This window comes from Homo sapiens, chromosome X (genome assembly GCF_000001405.40).
Source record: "Homo sapiens chromosome X, GRCh38.p14 Primary Assembly".
Lineage (NCBI taxonomy): Eukaryota > Metazoa > Chordata > Mammalia > Primates > Hominidae > Homo > Homo sapiens.
In genome coordinates, this window is record NC_000023.11 from 2,338,670 (window position 1) to 2,351,686 (window position 13,017).

General features: G+C 45.9%; 1 protein-coding gene across 1 annotated transcript in view; it reads right to left on the bottom strand.

The window, feature by feature from the left end:
- Window positions 1–13,017, bottom strand: part of DHRSX (dehydrogenase/reductase X-linked) — a 281,471-nt gene that overhangs the window by 119,164 nt on the left and 149,290 nt on the right. The gene's annotated exons all lie outside the window — the stretch shown is intronic.

Genomic DNA, 13,017 nt, shown 5'->3' on the forward strand with positions numbered 1-13,017 from the left:
CCAGCTCCCCTTCCCGTTCCACCATGAGTGGAAGCCTCCTGAGGTCCTCAGCAGAGACAGATGCTGGCCCTGTGCTTCTTGTACAGCCTGCAGAATCATAACCCAAATAAACCTCTTTCCTCTATAAATTATCCAGCCTCCAGTGTTCCTTTCTAGTGACACAAAACCGACGAAGACACCCCAGCTCTCTCTACCATGGGGTATTTATGTCACTAGTGATGACCGTCCTGACAAGGGGCCAGCCCTGCAGTTCCCACGAGACCACCTACTTCCCACTCCCCATATGAGCTCAGAAACTTCCGGAAGCTGGTACACTCATGGAATGATAATCCATATAATTTCCGCAACGAGATGTGATGTAGTATCATGCTTACTTAAGTGATCCTGAATATACTCTTTTTGTGTGTTTTTCTTTAATTTTCCATAACTTATTGGGTTACAGGCAGTATCTGGTTATATAAGTAAGTTCTTTTTATTTTTTTCTGAGACAGAGTCTCGCTCTGTCAGCCAGGCTGGAGCGCAGTGGCATGATCTCGGCTCACTGCAACCTCCACCTCCCACGCTCAAGCAATTCTCCTACCTCAGCCTCCCAAGCAGCTGGGATTACAGGTGTGTGCCACCAGGCCTGGCTAATTCCTTTTGTATTTTTAGTATAGACAGGGTTTCACCATGTTGGCCAGGCTGGTCTTGAACTCCTGACTTAAGGTAATCCGCTCGCCTCAGCCTCCCAAACTGTTGGGATTACAGGTGTGAGCCACCACATCCGATCACGAGTAAGTTCTTTAGTGGTGATTTGTGAGATTTTGGTGCACCCATTACCCAAGCAGTACACATTCCACACTATTTGTAGTCTTTTATCCCTCGCTGCCCCCTCCCAAGCTCTCCCCAAGTCCCCAAAGTCCATTGTATCATTCTCATGCCTTTGTGTCCTCATAGCTTAGCTTCCACGTATCAGTGACAACAGACGATGTTTGGTTTTCCATTCCTGAGTTACTTCACTTAGAGTAATAGTCTCCAAAGGACATGAACTTGTCCTTTTTTATGGCTGCATAGTATTCCATGGTGTCTATGTGCCACATTTTCTTTATACATTCTATCATTGATGGGCATTTGGGTTGGTTCCAAGTCTTTGCTATGTGAATAGTGCCACAATAAACATACGTGTGCATGTGTCTTTATAGTAGAATGATTTATAATCCTTTGGGTATATACTCAGTCATGTGATTACTGGGTCAAATGGTATTTCTGGTTCTAGATCCTTGAGGAATCCCCACACTGTCTTCCACAATGGTTGAACTAATTTACACTCCCACCAACAGTGTAAAACCATTCCTATTTCTCCACATCCTCTCTAGCATCTGTTGTTTCCTGACTTTTAATAAAGCTGGAAACCATTCTTCTCAGCAAACTAACACAAGAACAGAAAACCAAACACCACATGTTCTCACTCATAAGTGGGAGCTGAACAATAAGAACACATGGACACGGGGAGGGGAACATCACACACTGGGGCCTGTCGAGGGGTGGGGGGCTAGGGGAGTGATAGTATTAGGACAAGTATCTAATGTAGATGACGGGTTGAGGGGTGCAGCAAACCACCATGGCACATGTATACCTATGTAACAAAAACTGCACGTCCTGCACATGTACCCCAGAACTTAAAGTATAATAATAAAAAAAGTAATAGTCTCCAGTCTCATCCAGGTCACTGCAAATGCTGTTAATTCATTCTTTTTTGTGGCTGTGTAGTATTCCATGGTGTGTGTGTGCGTCTGTCTGTGTGTGTGTGTGTATATATATATATGATGTCCATCAATATATACAATGTCCAATGTTCTGGAGTCCACAGTCAGTAATGTCCATCAAGGTACATACACACGTTCACGGACATTATTGCCTGTGGACATCAGAATCTTGACCCACACCTAGGAAATGACTGCATTCAACGTCAGGCGACTGGACTCCCCGCCAGACACCCGCCATTGAGAACAAATAATAAAAGCCACAGTCTTCACCTTGCAAATTGATATTTGGACTTTTGTCATTCAAGGATGCTTTCAATGGTTCGTGTCTACTAGGCTTGGGAGAAAGATAGGCTCGTGAGAGGAGACATCAGACAACTGGCAAATCAGAGGTAGATGAAGCAACAAAAGGAAGGAAAAAGAGTGTGGAAATACCAGCCAACGAGCTGGTGTTCCCAATGGGACCTATGAAAAGATGTTTTGCAGGTGGAGAGAAGAAAGAGGAGACGCAAGCATTTGAGCTGAGCAACGAATATTGCCTGCATTGCGGAGGACCAAGAATGGACAATATCACCAGGTTAGCCTCCTGGGAAATGCTGCACGGGTGGCAGGTTCAGCAAATCAAGGCAGGGGGAGAAAATGGCTGCCGCTCTCTCTCCAGTTTGCGATCCTGGGAAGTTAGGGTGCACGGGTTTACTGGGCTTTGATTTCCTCAGAGGACTGGTTTTACTTACACACAGCAGGAAGCCATAATACAAGGGGCTCTTTTCCCACCACAGGCATCAAGCTGAATCACCGCACACGCTTGCATTCCAGACTCATGTTCTCCAGAGCTTACAGGTTGGGATGGGACCACTGTAACCCATGACCCCAAACTAGGGAGCTTACAAAAGCAGCCATTTAACCTCTCCCAGTCCTGGAGACTACATCTGTGAAATCGAGGTGCCTACAGGGACATGCTCCCTGCTCTAGGGAAGAATTCTTCCTGCCTCTCCCAGCTCCTGGGGGCTCCAGGCATCCCTGGGCTTATGGCCGCATCACTCCAGTCTCTGCCTCCGTCTCCACGTGGCCTTCTCCTCTGTGTCTGTGTCTCCTCTTCCGTCTCTTACAAGGACACCTGTCATTAGATTTAGGATCCACTGCAATCCAGGATGATCTCATCTCCAGATCCTTTTTTACATCTGCAAAGACCTTATTTCCAAATAAAAAATCACATGTACAGATTCAAGGTGAACTTGTCTTTTTTTTTTTTTTGGTGGGGGTGGGGGTAAAATAGAGGCACCATTCAATCCACTACAGGGGTTGAGAAGAAATAAAATATTACAAAATGCTCCCTGATAAGAAATAAAATATTACAAAATGCTTCCTGAATGTGATTTAGAAGTTTTTTTGTTTGTTTTGTTTTGTTTTTAAATGGAGTTTCACTCTTACTGCCCAGGCTGGAGCGCAATGGCGTGATGTCAGCTCACCGCAACCTCTACCTCCTGGGTTCAAGTAACTCTCCTGCCTTAGCCTCCCAAGTATCTGGGACTACAGATGCCCGCTACCACTCCCGGCTAATTTTTTGTATTTTTAGTAGACATGGGGTTTCACCATGTTGGCCAGGCTGGTTTCAAACCCCTGACCTCAGGTGATCTGTCCGCCTCGGCCTCCCAATGTGCTGGGATTACAGGCGTGAGCCACCTCGCCCGGCCGATTTAGAAGCTTTTGTTTGTGGGCGTGAAGGTTCAGTAAGAGCTTCCTCTAGTCCTTGTCAAGATCAAAATTAAAGGCATTATAAACAGAGATGCCTATCTGTCGGCCACATATCCAGAAAATAAATGCTGAGATGAGAATTCTGGTTTCTGAATAGGAGTCTGATATCTGCATTTGGTGTTGCCAAAGCAAGCCCTGACTTCTCTCTTCTCTCATTGAGACAGAGCACACACCCTCACTCCTTGTGTCTCTGAGTCACATGTATCGGGCCATACTCACCTGATACCTCACGGATTGTCCCGGGGCTAGTTCTATTTCTAGCTCCTGGGCAGGACGGTGACCATGAGTTCGACGGTGCCCAGCAAGCCCATCTGGCCAGCACTTATCTGCCTTTGGGTACAGCCTGCCCTTTCTCCCAAGTGTCTGAGCATAAAAATAGCCCACCATGTCAACCCCGCAGATGACAAGCATGTGAGTGGCTAGTTTCTGCCTGAGAACTCTCCCGAGGTCTCCCTGAACACTCACGGATGCCTGGGCTGGCCCAAGATGCAGCAGTAGGTCACTGACAGACTCTCTTCCATTTATTCACAGTTTCCATGATTCCCACGCTCATAGCATCGACATAACAAAAGCAAAGTTAAGCTACAGACTCTGCTCCCGCCCCAACCTCTCTAATAGCTGCTAACAGAGCCAATGGATTGTTTTTTTCAACTTGCAACTTAAACACAACTTTGCCTTCTCCCTGAGTCTTTTAATTCAAACATTCAGTCATTCTCCATCAGGTACGCACAGGAGATACAAAATCAATATGATAACGGTCTTCAGGTTGTGGGTGACAGAGCGGGAGCATGGCCATCTTGAACAAACACCACCATTCTAGGCTCCCCTTGATTAAAAACCGCCTAAATCCAGCCCGAAAACATCAGCCTCATGACTCATGTCAGCATAACCAGAAACATTCCAACCCTAAGATAAACCCGTCTCCGACCAAAAACATACCAACCCTGAGACAGCCTCCCCTCTGACCAGAGATATTCAACCCTGCAATAAACTCTCCCTCACATACAAACATTCTGAACCTATGATAAGCACCCCCTTCCAAAACCCTTAAATGTGCTTAGTCTATAAGAGAGAAGAGCTCTGACCTAACTCAGCCAGAAGCCCCTCTCAGGTTTCTCTAAAATAAACCTGTGTTTAACTGTCAAGTGACATTTCATGCTTCTTTCCTCTTTAATTCTTACAGTGAGTGTGTAGAGCACGCTTGACATAAGTGACTCCACCTTAGAAAAAGATTCCATGTTACATTTCATTCAAAAGGCATCATGCCTACAGGAGCCAGATGTTCACCTGATCAATAAAGACCACATCCAAACAGTTAAGGACACAACCAAACACCCTCTTCCATTGTCAATCCTCACCAGAGGACTCTGTGGTCATGAAAGAACAGGGCTTCAGCAGCTCCAAATGGCTACCTTAACAGATGCCATCTTGCTGTCACTTGTAATCATTACGCAGCATCCACCGCAAAAGGCTCTGCCCCACTGATATCAAAGGCTCTTCCTTGCAAGATGGCGACCACTGATGGCCCTCCAGGGCCAGGCCAGGAGACTTTTTTTTGTCCACATCAATATCCCTGTGCTCCTTTGTTAAGCTTTTTCCTACCCCTTTTCTCTTGATGATAAATGTTACGTTGTTTGATGTAGAATGTTTAATCTATAACATGCATATATTGGTGAAGTGTATTAGTATGTATAGGTTGCAATACTGACTGACTTGGGTCACAGCAGGAGCCTGTGCGCCTGTAGCTCTGACTAAATGCTGCCGGCACACAGGCTCCAGTACTCCAAGGGCTCAAGCCATTTCAGTACTAAATGGGAAGTCCTAAGGAGAATTGCCTCCTTGAAAACTCCGTGCATCTTGGGGCTTCTGTAAACTGAAATAGCATCAATAAAAGGCTGAACTTGTGAAAAGACACAACCATACATGGGCCTGGTTTTCTATCTCTGACCTTGCACCACTCATGAGAGCGGGCTCCAGCAAGCCAGCCAGCAGGAAAGACAGAAAAGGTGAAAACTGATTCAACAAAGGAAGGATACTTGAGCTAGATTAAACATTTTATTACATTTTCTCTGAATTTTTAGCCCATCATCACGGGTCATTAGAGAAATGCAAATCAAAACCACAATGAAATACCAACTTATGCCAGTTAGAATGGCGATCACTAAAAAAGTCAGGAAACGAGAGATGCTGGAGAGGATGTGGAGAAATAGGAACGCTTTTACACTGTTATTGAGAGTGTAAATTAGTTCAACCATTGTGGAAGACAGTGTGGCGATTCCTCAAGAATCCAGAACCAGAAATACTATACGACCACAGACTGGATAAAGAAAATGTGGTACACAGACACACCATGGAATACTATGCAGCCATAAAAAGGATGGGTTCATGTCCTTTGCAGGGACATGGATGAAGCTGGAAACCATCATTCTCAGCAAACTAACACAAGAACAGAAAAGCAAACACCACATGTTCTCACTCATAAGTGAGAGTTGAACAATGAGAACACATGGACACAGGGTGGGGAACATCACACACCAGGGTCTGTCAGGGGGTCAGGGGCTAGTGGAGGTATAGCATTAGGAGAAATACCTAATGTAGATGATGGGTTGATGGGTGCAGCAACCCACCATGGCACATGTATACCTATGTAACAAACCTGCACGTTCTGCACATGTACCCCAGAACTTAAAGTATATAAAAAGAAGCATATATATATATATATATATATATATATATATATATATATATACTGTATTTATTTAATAAAATTTCAAATTAATGATGTAAAAATTTTGAATTTTATAAATTTGAATATGACTTGGCCTGTGACAGAGACAGAGGCCACAAGACCCCTGCAGTCTACCCTATACCCTGCTGCCACAGTGACCTCCCTAACATACACACCTGATCACAAGTCCCCTCAGAGCAGCTTCCATGGCTTCCCCTGCCTCTTGAAATACTGCCCAACTTGTGTTCTGTCTGGGTACTCTTGTTCTGAGGCACCCTTGATCCTTGATTTTATAAGTCCACTTGGCTGAGCCATGGTGCCCACATATGTGATTAAATGTTCTTCTGGGTGTTTCTTTGAGGTTGCTTTAAATGAGATAAATATCGAAATCAGGAGACTTTGAGTAAAGGAATTGGTGGGTAGGCCTGGTCTAATCAGTTGAAGGTCATAATAGAACAAAAGACTGGGCTGGGTGCAGTGGCTCACACCTATAATCCCAGCACTTTGGGCAGCTGAGGCAGGTGGATCATCTGAGGTCAGGAGTTTGAGATCAGCCTGGCCAACATGGTGAAACCTTGTCTCTACCAAAAAAATAAAAATAAATTAGCTGGGCGTGGTGGTGTGTGCCTATAATCACAACTACTCGGGAGGATGAGGCAGAAGAATTGCTCAAACCTGGGAGATAGAAGTTGCATTGAGCCAAGATCGCACCGAGATCGCATCGTACCCCAGCCTGGGCAACAAGAGTGAAACTCTGTCTCAAAAAAAAAAAAAAAAAAATCTAAATCAGTACACTTTGAGTAAAGCAATTTGTCCTTCCTATGGTGGGTGGGCCTGGTCCAATCAGTTGAAGGTCTGACTAGAACAGAAGACTAATGTTACCTGAGCCAGAAGGGATTCTGCCAACAGATGGACTTTGGACTCCAACTACATCATCAGCTCCTCCCTGGGTCTCCAGCTGGCTGGTCTACCCCATACATCTTGAGACTTGCCAGCCTCCATCACCATATGAGCAAAATTCCTTAAAATAAATGTGCTTTCTATCAGTACACACATCATATTGGTTCTATTTCTCTGCAGTATCTTGACTCAGACACACAGTTCCCTGGTTCTGCGGCACCCACCTCCCGTGGTATCCTTGTTCTGTAAGAAATTAGTAAGTTTTAGGTGAACGCCAAGGAGGAATTTCATCCAGGAAAGCTCTTTGCCTCCTTGTAGACCCGATGAATTTCTACTCACTCTCTAAAATTTAACTCAAATACATGTATTTTCTGATAATGTTTCTAACTCTATGAGCAAAACCAGGCATCTCACTCCATGGCATCTGGACACGCAGCTACAGAGGTGCATCTGACATGCCCGAGTTGTTATGTACCATCTTCCCCTGACTGTGAATCTCTTAGGAATGACATCCATAAAAATGCAATGTGCCATCCAGGATTTAATACGTGCTCAAATATTGCCGAGTGTGGTTTTTCTCGTCTCTGTTTTCACAGTCCAGGCTGGCACCATTTCTCTGCAAATCAGTGTATTTTTCACCCACCTGATTTTCCTGCCCCCAGCCTCCCCTCCCACAAGGCGCCTTGAAGCTGCTGTCAAGCTCAATCTCCTGAAGATAGCCCAAATCCTTCCCGCAGCCTTTGGAAAGCCTCCCATAGCTTCTTCTCACAGCAAATCTAAGTAAACTACAAGGTGACTCCCATGTTCCCCTCCCCATTTTTCCTGTTTGTAGGGATGTTGTATGAGTCTGGTTTTTTTTTTGTTGTTGTTGTTTAATACTTTAAGTCCTGGGGTACATGTGCAGAACATGCAGGTTACATAGGTATCCATGTGCCATGGTGGTTTGCTGCACCTATCAACCCGTCATCTACATTAGGTATTTCTCCTAATGCTATCCCTCCCCCAGTCCCCTACTCCCCGACAGGCCCCAGTGTGTGATGTTCCCCTCCCTGTGTCCATGTGTTCTCATTGTTCAACTCCCACTTATGAGTGAGAACATGAGGTGTTTGGTTTTCTGTCCTTGTGATAGTTTGCTGAGAATGATGGTTTCCAGCTTCATCCATGTCCCTGCAAAGGACATGAACTCATTCTTTTTTATGGCTGCATAGTATTCCATGGTGTCTCTGTGCCATATTGTCTTTACACAATCTATGGTCAAATAGTATTTGATATAGATAAGGATGGATAAATAAAGTATAAGTATGTTTTCATGCTGTAGATAAAGACATATCTGAGAATGGGCAATTTAGAAAAGAAAGGTTTAACTGGACTTACAGTTCCACGTGGCTGGGGAAGCCTCACAATCATGGTGGAAAGCAAAAGGTGAAAGGCACGTCTCACATTGTGACAGACAAGAGAAGAGAGCATGTGCAGGAAACTCCCCTTTATAATAACCATCAGATCTCATAAAACTTACTCACTATCATGAGAACAGCAGGGCAAAGACCTGCCCCCATGATTCGGTTACCTCCCACTGGGTCCCTCCCACAACAGGTGGGAATACAAGATGAGATTTGGGGCCGGGCGCGGTGGCTCACGCCTGTAATCCCAGCACTTTGGGAGGCCAACACAGGTGGATCACCTGAGCTCAGGAGTTCAAGACCAGCTTGGCCAATTTGGCAAAAGCCCGTCTCTAGTAAAAACACAAAAATTAGCCGTGCATGGTGGCGGGCACCTGTAATCCCAGCTAATTAAAAGGCTGAGGCAGGAGAATCGCTGGAACCCAGGAGGTGGAGGCTGTAGTGAGCCGAGATCATGCCACGGCACTCCAGCCTGAGTGAGCGAGACTCTGTCTCTAAATAAATAAATAAGATTTGAGTGGGGACAGAGCCAAACCATATGAGATGTAATGAGCTGTACATTTTCCCAGGCATTTAATGCCTTTTTGTTTTTCAGTTGCCATAATGCGGTGTCCAGCAACATACGGTACATGGATGTCATACATGGGACATGTAAAATGGTAGCATCCATCTGCAGTTAGACTGTAGGCTCCCTGTTGGAACCACCCTGCTCGTGGACAATCACTGCTGTCTTGGTAATGAACACCCCCTACATATCTGCTTCACTATAGAGCTGCTGCCTCCAGAAACCCCATACACCCATGCGTTCTGGCAGTGCCAACGGCTGGAAATTGCTGCCCACTCCTCAGCCAAACCCACAGTCAGGCAGGGAACCCAAGCCAGGCCAATTGGGTCCCTGCCTTGGGATAGTCCAACGTAACATAAGAAAAAGACAGTGTGTTAGTATTATAGGCAAAGCAAGGCAAAAGAGAATAGAGAAGCAGCTCGGGTAAGAGACTAAAGCTTCTCTGCAGGAAGAGGAGACCCCAGAGATAGGAAGCTGGCATCCTGGAAAGGTTGGACTCTGTGTTCTGGCCTCTGAGAAGAAAGTGATCACTAAGCTTGGTGCAGATTAAACATAGAAGCAAAGGCTCTTCTGGCTTAAGTGGATCAAGCTGGGGTCAGTCGCTTGCAGCCAGGGTTTTGATGCATTTGTTCGTTCTCTCTGGATGGGGTCAGTCCCTCGCAGCCAGAATTCTGAGGCGTGCGCTCCTATTGTCTGGATGTGTGGGGTTTTATTTACTTTCTTTCAAAAGAAAAGTAGATAGAAAGGCTCAAAAGGATGGGGGCAGGGGAAAGACCTCCCAGCAATAAGAAAGAGGTCCAGGCAGCAACCATACAGGAAGAAGCAAAAATGAAACTGGAAAGTCAGAATGAAAAACTGCCCAATGTCTGCTATATTATTTTCTTGTTTTGCAAAGAAAGGAGGTCCAAAGCCCTTGTGGGTCTCTTATTTTTATTTTTTTTTTTTTTATTTTGTTTTGTTGAGAGAGCCTGTTGCCCAGGCTGGAGTGCAGTGGCACGATCTCGGCTCACGGCAACCTCCGCCTCCCAGGTTCAAGGTATTCTCCCTCCTCAGCCTCCCACGTAACTGGGATTTCAGGCACCCACGACCACACTCAGCTAATTTTTGTATTTTTAGTAGAGACGACATTTCACCACGTTGGCCAAGCTGGTCTCAAACTCCTGACCTCAGGTGCTCCGCTTGCCTCAGCCTCCCAAAGTGCTGGGATTACAAGCATGAGCCACCGCGCCCGGCTGTGGGTCTCTTTTTGCACAGCTGGGACAGGGAAGAAGAAAACTTGTGTTCCTCTGCCACTGTTTCCTGCAGAAATGGGTGAATACAGTAAATGGTACGGACGTTCCTCAAAAAAATTAAAAATAGAACTACTCGATGATCCAGCAAGCATGCTTCTAGGTATTTATCCAAAAGATAAATCGGTCTATGAGAGACATTTGCACCCCCATGTTTATGGCAGCAGTATTCACAATCACCAAGATATGGAATGAACCCAAGCGTTCAATAGATGAATGGATGAAGAAAATGCGGTACAGCTGGGTGCGGTGGCTCAGGCCTGGCGACAGACTGACACTCCGTCTCAAACAAAAAAAAAAGAAAATGCGGTACACGCACACAATGGGATACTATGCAGCCTTCAAAAGAAGGTAGTTGGGCCAGGCGCGGTGCCTGGAATCCCAGCACCTTGGGAGACTGAGGCGGGTGGATCACTTGCAGTTAGTTAGGAGTTTGAGACCAGCCCAGCCAACATGGTGAAACCCCGTGTCCACTAAGAAGTACAAAAATTAGCCGGGCATGGTGGCAGGCACCTGTAATCTCAGCTACTTGGGAGGCTGAGGCAAGAGAATCACTTGAACTTGGGAGGCGGAGGTTGCAGTGAGCTGAGATCACGCCACTGCACTCCAGACTGGGCGACAGAGTGACACTCAGTCTCAAAGAAAGAAATAAAGAAAATGCTGTAAATACACACAATGGGATACTTTACAGCCTTAAACGGAAGGTAATTGGGCTGAGCAAGGTGGCTCACGCCTGTAATTCCAGCACTTTGGGAGGCCGAGGCGGGCGGATCACGAGGTCAGATCGAGACCATCCTGGCTAACAGGGTGAAACCCCGTTTCCACTAAAAATACAAAAAAATTAGCCAGGCGTGGTGGCAGGCGCCTGCAGTCCCAGCTACTCAGGAGGCTGAAGCAGGAGAATGGCGTGAACCTGGGAGGTGGAGCTTGCAGTAAGCCGAGATCGCGCCACTGCACTCCAGCCTGGGCGACAGAGACTCTGTCTCAAGAAAAAAAATAAAAAAAGAACGTAATTGGCCAGGTGCAGTGGCCCACGCCTGGTATCCCAGCACTTTGGGAGGCTGAGGCAGGCAGATCACTTGCAGTTAGTTAGGAGTTTGAGACCAGCCTGGCCAACATGGGGAAACACCGTCTCTACTAAGAAGTACAAAAATTAGCCGGGCATGGTGGCGGGTGCCTGTAGTCTCAGCTACTCCAGAGGCTGAGGCAGGAGAATCATTTGAACTTGGGAGGCGGAGGTTGCAGTGAGCCGAGATCACGCCACTGCACTGCAGCCTGGGTGACAGAGCAAGACTCCATCTCAAAAAAAGAAAGAAAATGCAGTACATACAGACAATGGAATACCACGCAGCCTTAAAAAGAAGGGAATTCTGTCATTTGCCACAACATGGATGAACCTGGGGGATGTTAACGTGAAATACACCAGACACAGAGAGACAAATACCGCATGATGTCACTGACATGTAGAATCTAAAATAGTCAAATTCACAGAAGCAGACAGTAGAATGATGGTTTTCAGAAGATGAGGAGAGAGGGACGTAGGGAGATGCTGTTCCACAAGTATAAGGTTTTGGTATATAACATGAATCAGTTCTGCAGTCTGGGTACAACTGTGCACACCACAGCAGTTGTGCCTAGAGTTAACAAGACCGTATTATACATGTAACACTTTGTCAAGAGGGTGGCTCTCATGGTAAGCGTTTGACCGTGATAAAATAAAAATTTCAACACGTATGTTTATTGCAATACTATTTATAACAGCAAAGACTTGGAACCAACCCAAATGTCCATCAATGATAAGACTGGATAAAGAAAATGTGGTATGTAGACACTATGGAATACTATGCAGCCATAAAAAAGGATGAGTTCATCTCCTCTGCAGGGACATGGATGAAGCTGGAAACTGTTATTCTCAGCAAACTAACAGAGGAACAGAAAACCAAACACTGCCTGTTTTCACTCATAAGTGGGAGTTGAACAATGAGAACACATGGACACAGGGAAGGGAACATCACACACCGGGGCCTGTCAGGGAGCTGGGGGCAAGGGGAGGGAGGGCATCAGGGCAAATACTTAATGCATGCAGGGCTTAAAACGTAGAAGATTGGTTGATAGGCGCAGCAAACCACCATGGCACACGCACACCTATGTAACGAACCTGCACGTTCTGCACATGTATCCCAGAACTTAGAGTAAAATTAAAAAGAAAGAAAGTCAAAGACAGTTTTGTAAATGTTCGGCTACATCGTAACATTCAAAATGAGACTGGCCAACTTTCCCTATCTGCTTTGATGAGTCCATCAGAATACTTGTAATATGTGGACTAAGTCTTTAAATAAAAACACCTGCTTATAAATATGCCTGAATAACATGAGCTCTGGCACTTGTCAGCCTCAGACAGGTCATGACTCAGTAAAGGATGGAACACTTCCTTGCTGACACAGACTTGGAGATTGAGAAAGCAACACAGGCCACCCAATGGGAGAAAGAGGACATGGTACAGTGAAAGGCCAGTGTGCTGGACATGGGGAGGGCCATGCTATGCACTCTGGTGTCTGGATTAACCACTGGGACCAGCCCTGACTTCCTGCATGGCTGAAGAGGAGGCTGATGATGCATTGGGAGTTGGCATCCTGGC